This window comes from Homo sapiens, chromosome 21 (genome assembly GCF_000001405.40).
Source record: "Homo sapiens chromosome 21, GRCh38.p14 Primary Assembly".
Taxonomy (NCBI): domain Eukaryota; kingdom Metazoa; phylum Chordata; class Mammalia; order Primates; family Hominidae; genus Homo; species Homo sapiens.
In genome coordinates this window covers 43,077,540-43,090,259 of record NC_000021.9, presented here as the reverse complement: position 1 = coordinate 43,090,259, position 12,720 = coordinate 43,077,540, and the positions used below count along the sequence as shown (strand labels likewise).

The following is a 12,720-nucleotide window of genomic DNA, read 5'->3' as shown; positions in this document are numbered from 1 at the left end:
GGCAGTGTCTAAAGGGGTGATGGTGGTCACTGCCTCTTTTCTAGTTCAGGATTGAACTAGAATTTACCAAAAGGGAATAAACCTAAGAATGATTTCTGGAAAAAGTCTCAATTCAAAGCACAGAGGAAGAATAGAATTATAAAATCTGATTCTCGATCCTGTGCGATGGAAGGTAAGACTTTGAGTCTCAGAACACTAACAAGCCATGCGGGACGTGGCTATGGATGGCCCTAAAAAGCACTTTATTCCCAGACCGTGAATTTCACATTCCACCTAAATTTTACCAAAGACGGGATCAACATAAGATTTCTAACTTTTAATTTGCCAAGTGGGACTTTTTAGCTTGCTTTCAAGTTTCACCATCATTTCATGAAATAAAAGTTCTATTTTGGAAATATCTAAACATACATGACAGTAGGGAATGCAGTAATAAAGCCCACATGCTTTACCCTGCGCACCCAAGTTTGCATGCCTAACGCAGGGGACCCAGGAGAGGACAGCCGTCGAGCGTGTTCCGTGTTATGACGCTCCCTGCAGTGGCTTGTTATTTCATGTTTCCCAGGCTCCAGGGGTTCGCAGCCACCCAGTGGCCAGCACCGCCAGGACGCTGGGACATGCATGCACACCACGGGGTGAGCAAGACACAGTGCCTGCCTGGCGAATGCTGTGCCTCTGCCCTGGAGAAGCGGGGCTCAAATCGAAGCAGCACTTCCTAGGAACCACCGCTCTGTTCCCAGAGCTCCCTTCGGTCCAGATGAGCAGCCTGAGAAGTGAGAGGTCCAGGGGGATGGCGGGGTTAGAATCTCAAGGGCTTTGGAAATAGCAAAGCTGAACCAGGTTGTGGGGGCATGGAAGGTAAATTTTACCTGCCCTGAAAATCCAGACACCAGCAAGGGGAGTTGTGGTTGACATGGGACAAAGCAGGAAGAAAAGGGACCTCTTTAGCTCTTTATCCCAGTTGACCCACACAAGCTCTTGAGAAATAGGAGCGTCTCGCTCTGCAGAAGAGGGAACCGCTTCAGAGACCCTAAGTGGACCAGGCTGTCCCAGTGTGCTGTTCGCTGCAGGTGACAGACAATCTAACAAACTAGCTCCAACAACGAGAAGATGTGTTGGGCCGGGCGTGGTGGCTCACGCCTGTAATTGCAGCATTTTGGGAGGCCAAGGCGGGCGGATCACGAGGTCAGGAGATTGAGACCATCCTGGCCAACATGATGAAACACTGTCTCTACTAAAAATACAAAAAAAAATTAGCCGAGTGTGGTGGCACATGCCTGTAGTCTCAGCTACTCGGGAGGCTGAGGCAGGAGAATCGCTTGAACCCAGGAGGCAGAGGTTACAGTGAGCCAAGATTGTGCCACTGCACTCCAGCCTGGCTGATAAAGTGAGACTCCGTCTCAAAAAAAAAAAAAAAAAGGTGTTGGCTTCTGTAATTAGGTCCAGTGGCCTTGCCCTGCTGAGCTCTGGTCTGTGCCATGTGGGTTCCACATAACATTAGGCGAATAGCGAGATGGCCGATGCAGGCCATGACAGACACCCAGCATCTCGATCTCATAGGCCCAAGTTGGCATCACTTATTTTTCCAACCTGAAAAAAAGGTCAGCTTCCAAATTCTATGAACTGAGTGTGATACTGATCAAAATGGCCCACAGAACTACAGGGGCCTCCCAGTTCTGAATATGGATGCAAAACCCCCACATCCAATATTAGCAAACAGTCCAGCAGCGTGTTAAGGTAAATCTGCCAGTAGTGGGTGTGATTCAATCCAGGAAGTCAAGGATGAATGCTATCAAATACTTCATCTGTTCTAAGTTTTCTTACGTTGTTTCTTTTATTTTTTGAGACAGAGTCTCACTTTGTCACCCAGGCTGGAGTGCAGTGGCACGATCTCAGCTCACTATAACCTCTGCCTCTCCAGTTCAAGTGATTCTTGCGCCTCAGCCTCCTGAATAGCTGGGACCACGAGTACACACCACCACACCCGACTCATTTTTGTATTTTTCGCCATGTTGGCCAGGCTGGTCTCGAACTCCTGACCTCAGGTGACCCACCCACCTCAGCCTCCCAAAGTGCTAGGATTGCAGGCGTGAGCCGCTGTGCCCAGCCAACATTGTTTCTTATGGTTCCCCCAGTTACGCTTATGTTGCATCTCTTAGCTGGCTCCCATGTCTGTTATATTTTTAATTAGATGTATGATACATACAGCAAAGTACCTCAAAGCTAAACCTGGTTTAAAAGACAATTGCAAGGTGATCATCGTGGTCAAGAAGCAACACAAAGCCAGCATCCAGGCCAGCCCTCCCCGGCCATAAAATTCTTCCTCCCCCTAAAAGAAACAACTATCTTGACATTTGCAATAATCATTTTGTTTTGCTTTTACTATTTTACAAACTACATATGGTTCACTAAACATGACAGTTTTGCCTGCTTTTAGAAGTGAAATCATGTATGATTTTGTCTGGCACAGCTTGTCCACAATATTCAACTGTGTTGGGTGTAGCTGGCCTAAGATTTGCAGCTGGTGGGTGCATCAGTCTGGAAAAAGCAAAGAATACAGCAGTAAGTAATGGTGCAGGTACAAGTGAGCAGCCGCAGCCGGGAGACAGGTGCGGAAAGAGGAGGAGGAGTGCACGTCCTGGCGCGTGGAGCAGTGAGGGCAGATTTCCTGCGGCAGGAACCAGGAACACACTGGGGTTGTCAGGAAGGACTAGCACCAGGTCACAACAGCCCTGAAATCCCAGGACTCATGTCCCGCTCACCTACATGCCTGCCATCGGTCCTGCAGCTCAGAGCTGTCTTCACGGGGGCCAGGCTGACAGGGCAGCCCCCACCCAAAATGCTGCCAGCTTACAGGGAGGGAGGGAGAGAGAGGGGTGATGAGAGAGAGAGAGACTTCTTGCTGGCGCTCTGGCCCCTGACCAGAATGACCTGCAAGCTGCACATGCCACTGGGTGAAACCAGGCCCACAGTCACTCAGGACTGAGTACTGGGGGGCCCCAGAGGGAGGGACCCTGGGCATCCTTCCCCAGGTGTTGAAGACGTGTGCTGGGAAGAGATCAGGAAAAGGTTGGGGAGGACGCCAGGGAGAGCTCTCACAGGGCCTCATGGGCCATGGGAAGGACCTGGAATATTTTTTTTCCCTAGAAACAGGGTCTCATCATGTTGCCCAAGCTGGCTTCAAACTCCTGGGCTGAAGCCATCCTCCCGCCTCGGCCTCCCAAAGTGCTGGGAGTACAGGTCTGAGTGACCACACGTGGCTTGTCCCTGGAATCCCTAAGCTGAGTCGTGGGAAGGGTTTGAACAGGAGCATAAAGAGCTCTAATTTATATGCTTAAAGCAGTTTCTCACTGCAGTGTGGGGGACAGACTGCAGGCCGGGCAGGAGTGCAGAGGAGAAGCACACAGACAGGACTGTCCAGGCAAGAGCAGAGGGCGGCTTGGACTGTGATGGGCTTGGGGTGGTCCTCTCCGCTTGGTTTGTAAGCCGTTCTGGTGGGGTGCAGTGATGGGTGACTGTGGTTTTCATTTTCGTATTTCTGATGACTAATGAGGCCGGCACTTTTTCCTGCTGTTAACATTTGCATGTCTCTCTGTGAAGCCGGGTTTAAGTCTTTTGCCTATTTTAAAATATCGAGGCTGGGCACAGTGGCTCACGCCTGTAATCCCAGCACTTTGGGAGGCCGAGGTGGGTGGATCACCTGAGGTCAGGAGTTCGAGACCAGCCTGACCAACGTGGTGAAACCCCGTCTTTACTAAAAATACAAAAATTAACCGGGCCTGGTTGTCAGGCACCTGTAATCCCAGCTACTCAGGAGGCTGAAACAGGAGAATCACTTGAACCTGGGAGGCAGAGGTTGCAGTGAGCCGAGATCACGCCCATTGCACTCCAGCCTGGGTGACAAAAGTGAAACTCTGTCTCAAAAAAAAATAAAAATAAAAAAATTGAGTAGTTTGTCATTTTCTTATTTATTTCTAGATGTTTTTTATATACGGTGGAGATGAATCTTTTGTTGACGTGCGTTGCAAATATTTTCTCCCAGTCTGTGGTTTGCCTTTTCTCTCTCTAAATGGTGTCTTGATGAAAGCCTGTTCTTAGAATTCAACTAAGTTGATTTACCCATCTTTCGTCTGTACACGGTGCTTTTTGTGTTCCATGTAAGATACTTCTCGCCTCCCTAAGTTCCTGCTGATATTCTCTGTCTTTGTTGTAAGCCTTATATATATATATATTGTGTGTGTGTGTTTGTTTGTTTGGTTGGTTTTTTTTGAGATGAAGACTCACTCTGTCGCCCAGGCTGGAGTGCAGTGGCACAATCTCAGCTCACTACAACCTCCACCTCCTGGGTTCAGGCAATTCCCCTGCCTCAGCCTCCCAAGTACCACAGGCGCCCGCCACCACACCCGGGTAATTTTTGTATTTTTAGTAGAGATGGGGTTTCACCATGTTGGCCAGGCTGGTCTCAAACTGCTGACCTCAAGCGATCCACCTGCCTCAACCTCCCAAAGTGCTGGGATTATAGGCGTGAGCCCCCATCCCCAGCCTGTTTGCTTTTTGTTTTGTTTTGTTTTGTTCTGTTTTTGAGATGGAGTTTCATTCTTGTTGCCCAGGCTGGAGTGCAATGGTGCGATCTTGGCTCACTGCAACCTCCGCCTCCCAGGTTCAAGCAATTCTCCTGTCTCAGCCTCCCAAGTATCTGAGATTACAGGCACATACCACCACGTCTGGCTAATTTTTGTATTTTTAGTAGAGACAGAGTTTCACCATATTGGCCAGGCTGGTCTTGAACTCCTGACCTCAGGTGATCCACCCGCCTTGGCCTCCCAGAGTGCTGGGATTACAGGTATGAGCTATGGTGCCTGGCCGCTTGTGTGTGTGTGTGTGTGCGTGTGCGTGTTTTGTTTTTTTTTGAGAAGGATTATCACTCTGTCGCCCAGGCTGGAGTACAGTGGTGTGATCTCAGCTCACTGCAACCTCTGCCTCCTGAGTTCAAGCGATTCTCCTGCCTCAGCCTCCTGAGTTGCTCGAACTCCTGACCTCAAGTGATCTGTCTGCCTCAGCCCACCAAAGTGCTGAGATTACAGGCATGAGCCACTGCGCCCAGCCTGTTAGCTTGTTTTTGAGACAAGGTCTGGCTGTGTCGCCCAGGCTGGAGTGCAGTGGGTGTGATCTCAGCTCACTGCAGGCTCCATCTCCTGGACTCAAGCGATCCGCCCACCTCAGCCTTCCAAGTAGCTGGAACTACAGGTGTGCACCACCACGACTGGCTAATTTTTTGATTTTTTTTTTTTTTTTTTTTTTGTAGAAACAGGGATTCACCATATTGCTCAGGCTTGTCTCAAACTCTTGGGCTCAAGCCACCCTCCCACGTTGGCCTCCCAAAGTGCTGGGATTACAGGTGTAAGCCACTGTGCCCAGCCCCCGTCATAAGCTTTAATATGTTCACTTTCACATTTAGCTCTAGGATTTGTCTTCCTTTTGTTGTTGTCATTGTTGAGACAGGGTCTCACTTTGTCACCCAGGCTGGAGTGCAGTGGCATAATTATAGCTCACTATAGCCTCAAACTCCTGGGCTCAAGTGATTCTCCCACCTCAGCCTCCCATGTAGCTGAGAATATAGGTGCAAGCCACCATGCCCATCTAATTTTTTTTTTTTTTAATATAAACAGGGTTTCACATGTTGCCAGGCTGGTCTCAAACTCCTGGCTTCAAGTGATCCACCGGCCTTGGCCTCCCAGAGTGCTGGGATTACAGGCGTGAGCCACGCATGCAGCCATGTTCCGTGTCGGTGTGAAATCAGCGCTTTCCTACATGGATATCCAATTGCTCCAGCAGCATTTATTGTAAAAACAACCACCACCTTTCCCTGCAGGACGCGGCTCCCTCTGTGGTAGTCCCGTCACCGTGTGCAGATGGGTCTGTTCTTGGATTCCCTTCTGCTCGTGGGTCTTTTGCACGTCCTTGTGCCTGGGGTATATTTTGAATGAACAGGAGTCTACAGGGGCCGGGCACAGTGGCTCATGCCTGCAATCCCAGCACTTTGGGAGGCCTAGGGAAGTGGATCAGCCCAGGAGTTCAAGAGCAGCCTGGGCAACATGGTGAAACCCTATCTCTACAAAAAGTATTTAAAAACCAGCCAGGTACAGTGGCACATGCCTGTGGTCCTAGCTGCTCGGGAGCCCGAGGTGGGAGGGTCACTTGAGCCCAGAAGGTTGAGGCTGCAGTGAGCCAGGACTGCACCACTGCACTCCAGCCTGGGCAACGGAGCAAGACCTGACTCAAGAAAAAAAGAGCCTATGGGATTTGCTGTTGCGTCCAGTGTGGGCTGTGAGAGAGAATTCAAGGATGCCTCTGAGGGTTTTCACCTGAGTAGACTTTTTTTGCCTTATCAACTTTATTTCTGACAAAGCAGATTGGAGAACATGAATCTAGATTTTAAGGCCCAGAGAACTTGTAAGGCCATCCCTGTCCATGGTCTGACCCGGGACTGCCCACCTGCGGGTCAGCTTGGGCCCACACAGCATGCAGGGACGCTGGCCCTGTGCCTGCTTGGGGGTAGGGAGGGAGTGAGTCCCCAGGGCTCGCGCCATTTAAACAGATCAGCGCCCTGCAGTGCAGGCATCTGCACAAGTCAGTGCCGAAGCCTCGGCATGACGCGGTCAGACAGGTCACACTCCTCTCCAGGGAAGGATGGGGGGTGGGGGGGTGAGGAGAGAAGCCAGGAGTGGCCCCTCATGGAAACATGACACTGTTCCCGTGTTCCCTCACCCAGAGTGGGCTGGGCAAGGCATCAACCATGCCAAGGCTGTCCTCCCGCACCCCGAGGCCACTTCCTTAGTGCCCACTGCCACCCCTCAGGCTCCTCCTGGTTCCACGGACAGTTGGCTTCTTCCCCAGGAAGGTTTTGAACCAGTGAGATCCATGCAATAATCAGGTTAACTCAAGCGCCACCCGGCAGCCAAGGCTGACACGCCGCGCCGCCTCCCCGGTCTCGGGAGCTCCCAAGCGCTTTGTAAGAGATCAGCTGAGACCCATGGTGGCCTGAAGCCGCACAGTCTGGAAAATATGACTCCCCTCCCATGGCCGGGCTCCCCTCCCACCGCCAGGCTCCTAAGAGAAAACATGGTCTAAAGCTGAAATCGCCTTCTCCTCTCTAACGCCCAAAGAAATTAAAGTCCAAGGTCTTTTCTTTCTAGCACGTCATATGTGACAGAACCTTCTCAACCAAACAGTCCCGAGACCGCCCAGATGGCTGTCTTCCCATGCCCGTGCTCCGGGGGCAGCAGGACAGGCCTGGAAACTGAGTCTGCAGGTCTGTGGAGCTTTCAGGAGAGAGCCGGGCCTGGGCCCAGCAACCCAGCAAGTGAGGTCACCACCCAGCCTCGGCCATCTTGCCAGGGGTTCCAGCTGACTTGTTAGATGGCATGGTGTGGCTCTCAGCAAGGAAGCCAGCCCCTCACCCCCCTGGGACTCCCCCTCAACAGGGCACCTCCCTCTCAGCAGCATTCCAGGAGCAGCTGGCCTGTTCACACAGCGGGGCATCCTTGGAGCCTACATTCCACCCCACGCAGCCAAACTCGATTTGGAAAACGCCTACCTCCAACTATTCAGGCACCTCCTCAAATCCCAGGTCTTTTTTTAAAAATAAGTTGAATCAGCCAGGGGCACGGTGGCTCACGCCTGTAATCCCAGCACTTTGGGAGGCTGAGGTGGGCAGATCACCTGAGGTCAGGAGTTTGTCACCAGCCTGGCCAACATGGCAAAACGCTGTCTCTACGAAAAACACAACAATTAGCCAGGTGTGGTGGGTGCCTGTAATCCCAGGGAGGCTGAGGCAGGAGAATCGCTTGAACCTGGGGGATGAAGGTTGCAGTGAGCCGAGATTGCACCACTGCACTCCAGCCTGGGTGACAGAGCGAGATTCCGTCTCAAAAAATAAATAAATAAAAATAAGTTGAATCAGCCGGGTGCGATGGCTCACACCTATAATCCTAGCACTTTGGGAGGCCGAGGTGGGTGGATCACCTGAGGTCAGGAGTTCAAGACCAGCCTGGCTAACACGGTGAAACCCCGTCTCTACTAAAAATACAAAAAATTAGCCGGGCGTGGTGGCAGGCGCCTGTAGTCCCAGCTACTCAGGAGGCTGAGGCAGGAGAATGGCGTGAACCCGGGAGGCGGAGCTTGCAGTGAGCTGAGATCACGCCCCTGCACTCCAGCCTGAGTAACAGAGCAAGACTCCATCTCCAAAAAAAAAAAGACCAGCCTGGCCAACATGGTGAAACCCCATCTCTACTAAAAATACAAAAATTAGCCAGGCACGGTGGAACGCACCTGTAATCCCAGCTACTTAGGAGGCTGAGGCAGGAGAATAGCTTGAACCCGGGAGACGGAGGTTGCAGTGAGCCAAGATTGCACCACTGCACTCCAGCCTGGGCGACAGAGTGAGACTCCGTCTCAAAAAAAAAAAAAAAAAGTTGAATCATAGGAAATTGCCATTTTTTTGTGGGTCAAAAGGTCACATTTCAGCAATTTCACGTGGTTCAAACTGGGGCTGATTGGCGTCGTGGGAGGACCACAAAGTCCCATGGGTAAGAGTGGGCCCAGGAGTCCCGCCGCCTGGTCTCACCCAGCTCTGCTCCCTGTTCCTGCACACTCGTCTTTCTCTTCTGTAAAGGGATGGTCAGGTCGTGCCCCTCCTTCAGTGTTAGGAAGATCCTGTCAGGTAACACAGGTGAAGCTCCCAGAGCAGGGCCTGGCACATCCGCAATCAGTGCATGGCAGTCAGTTGTTGCCGTTGTCGGTAGCAATAGCATTAGTAACTGTAGCCGGGTGTGGTGGCTCACACCTGTGCTCCCAGCTACTTGGGAGGCTGAGGCAGGAGAATCACTTGAGCCCAGGAGGTCAAGCCTGCAGGGCGCCATGAATGCACCACTGCACTCCAGCCTGGGAGACAGAGCGAGACCCTGTCTCTAGAAAAATGAAAGATACAGGCTGGGTGCGGTGGCTCACGCCTATAATCCCAGCACTTTGGGAGGCTGAGGCGGGTGGATCACCTGAGGTTGGGAATTCGAGACAAGCCTGACCAACATGGAGAAACCCTGTCTCCATTAAAAAATACAAAATTAGCTGGGCGTGGTGGCGCATGCTTGTAATCCCAACTACTCGGGAGGCTGAAGCAGGAGAATCGCTTGAACCCGGGAGGCGGAGGTTGCAGTGAGCCAATATCACACCACAGCACTCTGGCCTGGGTGATAGGGTGAGACTCCATCTCAAAAAAAAAAAAAAAAGAAAGAAAAAGAAAAAGAAAAGATACAGTATTAGTAACTGAAGGTGGGATGTGGGGGTGTGGGGGTGGGGCAGACACGCAGAACGGGGAGCAGGAACTCTGCTTGCCCAAATGCAGAGTGGAGAGATGGCGTGAAAGTGAGTGAGTGCACACGTTACTCTCGGAAAATGACACAGCGTTGCTGGAAGACGTGCAGCCAACCTGAGACACGGACCGCCTGCATTCCTGGGCCAGCAGACTCGCCCCTCAAGTCAAAAGGAATAAATGTAACCAAAGAAGTGTGAGACTTACATACCCCAAATCCCAAAACACCACTGAAAGAAATTAAAGATCCAAGCTCCTCCTGGACGCCTGGGCTCAGGAACCCTCCCCTCAGAACGATCTTGGCCACCGACCTACACAAATCCTCCCCTCCTCTCATACCCAAAGGGCATTGTTGCTATAGTGCCAGCCCTTCAGCCCCTCGGATGCTCCAGCTCCTTATTCTAGAACTCTCCATCGGCAGTTCTTTCTCTCCAGTGACGCTGCCTGTCCATGGACCCACCAGCTTTTCACTGTCCCTGCCGCCTGCTGCCCATCCTTCCCGCCCCACCCAGCGCAGATCCCTGCAAACAAACGCAGCTCAGCCTCCCGTCTGTGCCGTCTCCCACCAACACACTCAGACAAAACTTCACTCTCACACGTAACCCAGCCTGCAAACAGCCCCAGTCCCGGTGGCTCCCAGCAAAGGGCATTTTGTTCTTCCCCTGCCGGGCTCTGCAGGGCTGGGCCCCGGGCTGCAGGTTGAGGTCAGGGCCGCTGTCCCTGAGGTCTCAGCTGCAAACAGGCACACTCCCTTCTGCTGTGTGTCCCAAGGGGTGAAGCAAACCACGGCTCAGCCCAAATCCAAAGGGTGGGTAAGTTTCCGCCACTGCCGTGACTTGGGCAGGGAGAGAGAATCTCGTAAACACACACGACCATCTCCAGCGCTCTTCCCCTGCCCTGCCACGCGGGCCACTCACCGCAGCCAGAGAAAAGCACAGCCGTGCTGCCAGGGGCCTGGGAAACTTGTGAATGGAAATTCGCAGGAGCCCTCAGTGCTGCCCACCTCTCCTCCTTCCCTTCCTCTTCCTCCTCCTTCCCTTCCTCTTCCTCCTCCTTCCCTTCCTCTTCCTCCTCCTCCTCCTCCAATCTCCTCCAGTTCTGAGGGCCCAGCCTTCCGGCCACCAGGGGATGGTGCAGGCCCAGGCCTCTCCCCTCTGCTCGCCCCCCAGTGGGGTAGCGGTTTATCCTCTGTCCACTCATGACATGTGCACTTTCTGCATACGTGTTATACTCTGAACAAAAGTAACAACAACAAAACCCTCCATCAGCTCGGCCTCGCTGTCCACTTGCTGCTGACCAGCTGTCAGGCCTATTCCTTTGAAGAAACAGAGGTGATTAGAAGGAAGCTCTTCCACCTTGTCCACAGGACGCCAGCATTCCTGCATCTCTGGCTCTGAGCTCCTTCCCAGTACAATGTGGTGGGCCAGGCCCTCCTGGGGGCTCTGCTCCTGCAGTGCCTCCTCTCATGTAGGCAGACACAGAAATGAGGCAGAGGCTAGAAAATGATGAGGGCCGGGGAGATGTGTTTTTCTTTTTTCTTTTTTTCTTTTTTTTTTTTTTTGAGATGGAGTTTCGCTCTTGTTGCCCAGGCTGGAGTGTAGTGGCGCGATCTCAGCTCACTGCAACCTCCACCTCCCAAGTTCAGGCGATTCTCCTGCTCCAGCCTCCCGAGTAGCTGGGATTACAGGTGCCTGCCACCACAACCAGCTGTATTTTTTCTTTCTTTCTTTCTTTCTTTCTTTTTTTTTTGTATTTTTAGTAGAGACGGGGTTTCACCATGTTGGCTAGGGTGGTCTCGAACTCCTGACCTCAGGCGATCCACCCGCCTTGGCCTCCCAAAGTGCTGGGATTACAGGCGTGAGCCATTGCGCTGGCCAGTTTTTGTATTTTTAGTAGAGACTAGAGACGGGGTTTTGCTATGTTGACCAGGCTGATCTCAAACTCCGGACCTCAGGTGATCCTCCCACCTTGGCCTCCCAAAGTGCTGGGATTACAGGTGTGAGCCACCCCACTTGGCCATTCGTGCACTTTCAGTGGTCAGGTGTAGCTTTTTCATTTTAAAATAGGACCTACGGCTCACATTGATATAACTAAGTGAATAAATAAATGAGGGAGAAGGAAAACTCTAATAATGGAATGCCAAATGGTACATGGAGGAGTGATGGGCTTAGAAAAACCACTATTCAGCAACCATTTTATTTTATTTTATTTTACTTATTTATTTACTTTTTTTTTTTTTTGAGACGGAGTCTTGCTCTGTCGCCAGGCTGGAGTGCAATGACACAATCTCAGCTCACTGCAACCTCCGAGTCCTTGGTTCAAGTGATTCTCCTGCCTCAGTCTCCCGAGTAGCTGGGATTACAGGCACGCACCACCATGCCCAGCTAATTTTTGTATTTTTAGTAGAGGCGAGGTTTCACCATGTTGGCCAGGATGGTCTCAATCTCTTGACCTCGTGATGCGCCCGCCTCAGCCTCCCAAAGTGCTGGGATTACAGGTGTGAGCCACAGCTCAGCAACCATTTTAATAAAAATCAATTCAGACAAAATCATCAGTAAGTGTTAAAACTAGAGAGTGGGCTGGCTGCAGTGGCTTACCCCTGTAATCCCAGCACTTTGGGAGGCCGAGGCAGGTGGATCACCTGAGGCCACGAGTTCGAGACCAGCCTGTCCAACATGGTGAAACCCCGTCTCTACTTAAAAAAAAATACAAAAAATAGCCAGGTGTGGTGGCAGGCACCCGTAATCCCAGCTACTTGGGAGGCTGAGGCAGAAGAATCGCTTGAACCCGGGAGAGGGAGGTTGCAGTGAGCCGAAATCACACCACTGCACTCCAGCGTGGGGGGGAGGTTGCAGTGAGCTGAAATCACACCACTGCACTCCAGCGTGGGTGACAGAGAAAGATTCTGTCTCAAAAAGAAACAAAACAAAACAAAATAACAAGTTAGAGAAACCAGATAGACTGAGTGACAGATTCATACACACCTGCACACGTGTGTGTGTGTGTGTGTGTGTGTGTGTGTGTGTGGAGAGACAGAGAGGGAGCAAATGTAGTAAAAACTTAACATTTGAAATAACAATGAGTTTCTGATAATAGAAGCAAAAAAAATTAATATTTGGAAAATCTGGATGAGGGAATATGACATTCTGTATGGTTCTTGCCACTTTTCTAATCTAAAATTACGTTAAAATTTCTAAAAAATTAAAAAGTATTTGGGCTGTGTAACAAATTACTGCAAACTTGAGTGGTTTAAAACAACACACATTGGGCTGGGCGCGGTGGCTCACTCCTGTGAGCCTAGCACTTTTGGGAGGCCGAGGCGGATGGATCACCTGATGTTAGGGGTTCGAGAC

The 12,720-nt window shown here is 51.4% G+C and overlaps 3 annotated features.

The window, feature by feature from the left end:
• Nucleotides 3,125–3,917: an enhancer, noted in NCBI's record as "H3K27ac-H3K4me1 hESC enhancer chr21:44506453-44507245 (GRCh37/hg19 assembly coordinates)". NCBI's record gives its function as "activates a minimal SCP1, AML or CMV promoter by ChIP-STARR-seq in primed H9 embryonic stem cells {active_cell/tissue: H9 hESC(primed)}" and the evidence as "EXISTENCE:reporter gene assay evidence [ECO:0000049][PMID:30033119]".
• Nucleotides 7,347–7,641: a silencer, noted in NCBI's record as "tiled region #958; K562 Repressive non-DNase unmatched - State 7:EnhWF". NCBI's record gives its function as "represses a minimal TATA promoter and a strong SV40 promoter by Sharpr-MPRA in K562 cells {active_cell/tissue: K562}" and the evidence as "EXISTENCE:reporter gene assay evidence [ECO:0000049][PMID:27701403]".
• Nucleotides 9,913–10,084: a silencer, noted in NCBI's record as "fragment chr21:44500286-44500457 (GRCh37/hg19 assembly coordinates)". NCBI's record gives its function as "represses an EF-1alpha promoter that drives an FKBP-Casp9 reporter gene in an ReSE screen in K562 erythroleukemia cells {active_cell/tissue: K562}" and the evidence as "EXISTENCE:reporter gene assay evidence [ECO:0000049][PMID:32094911]".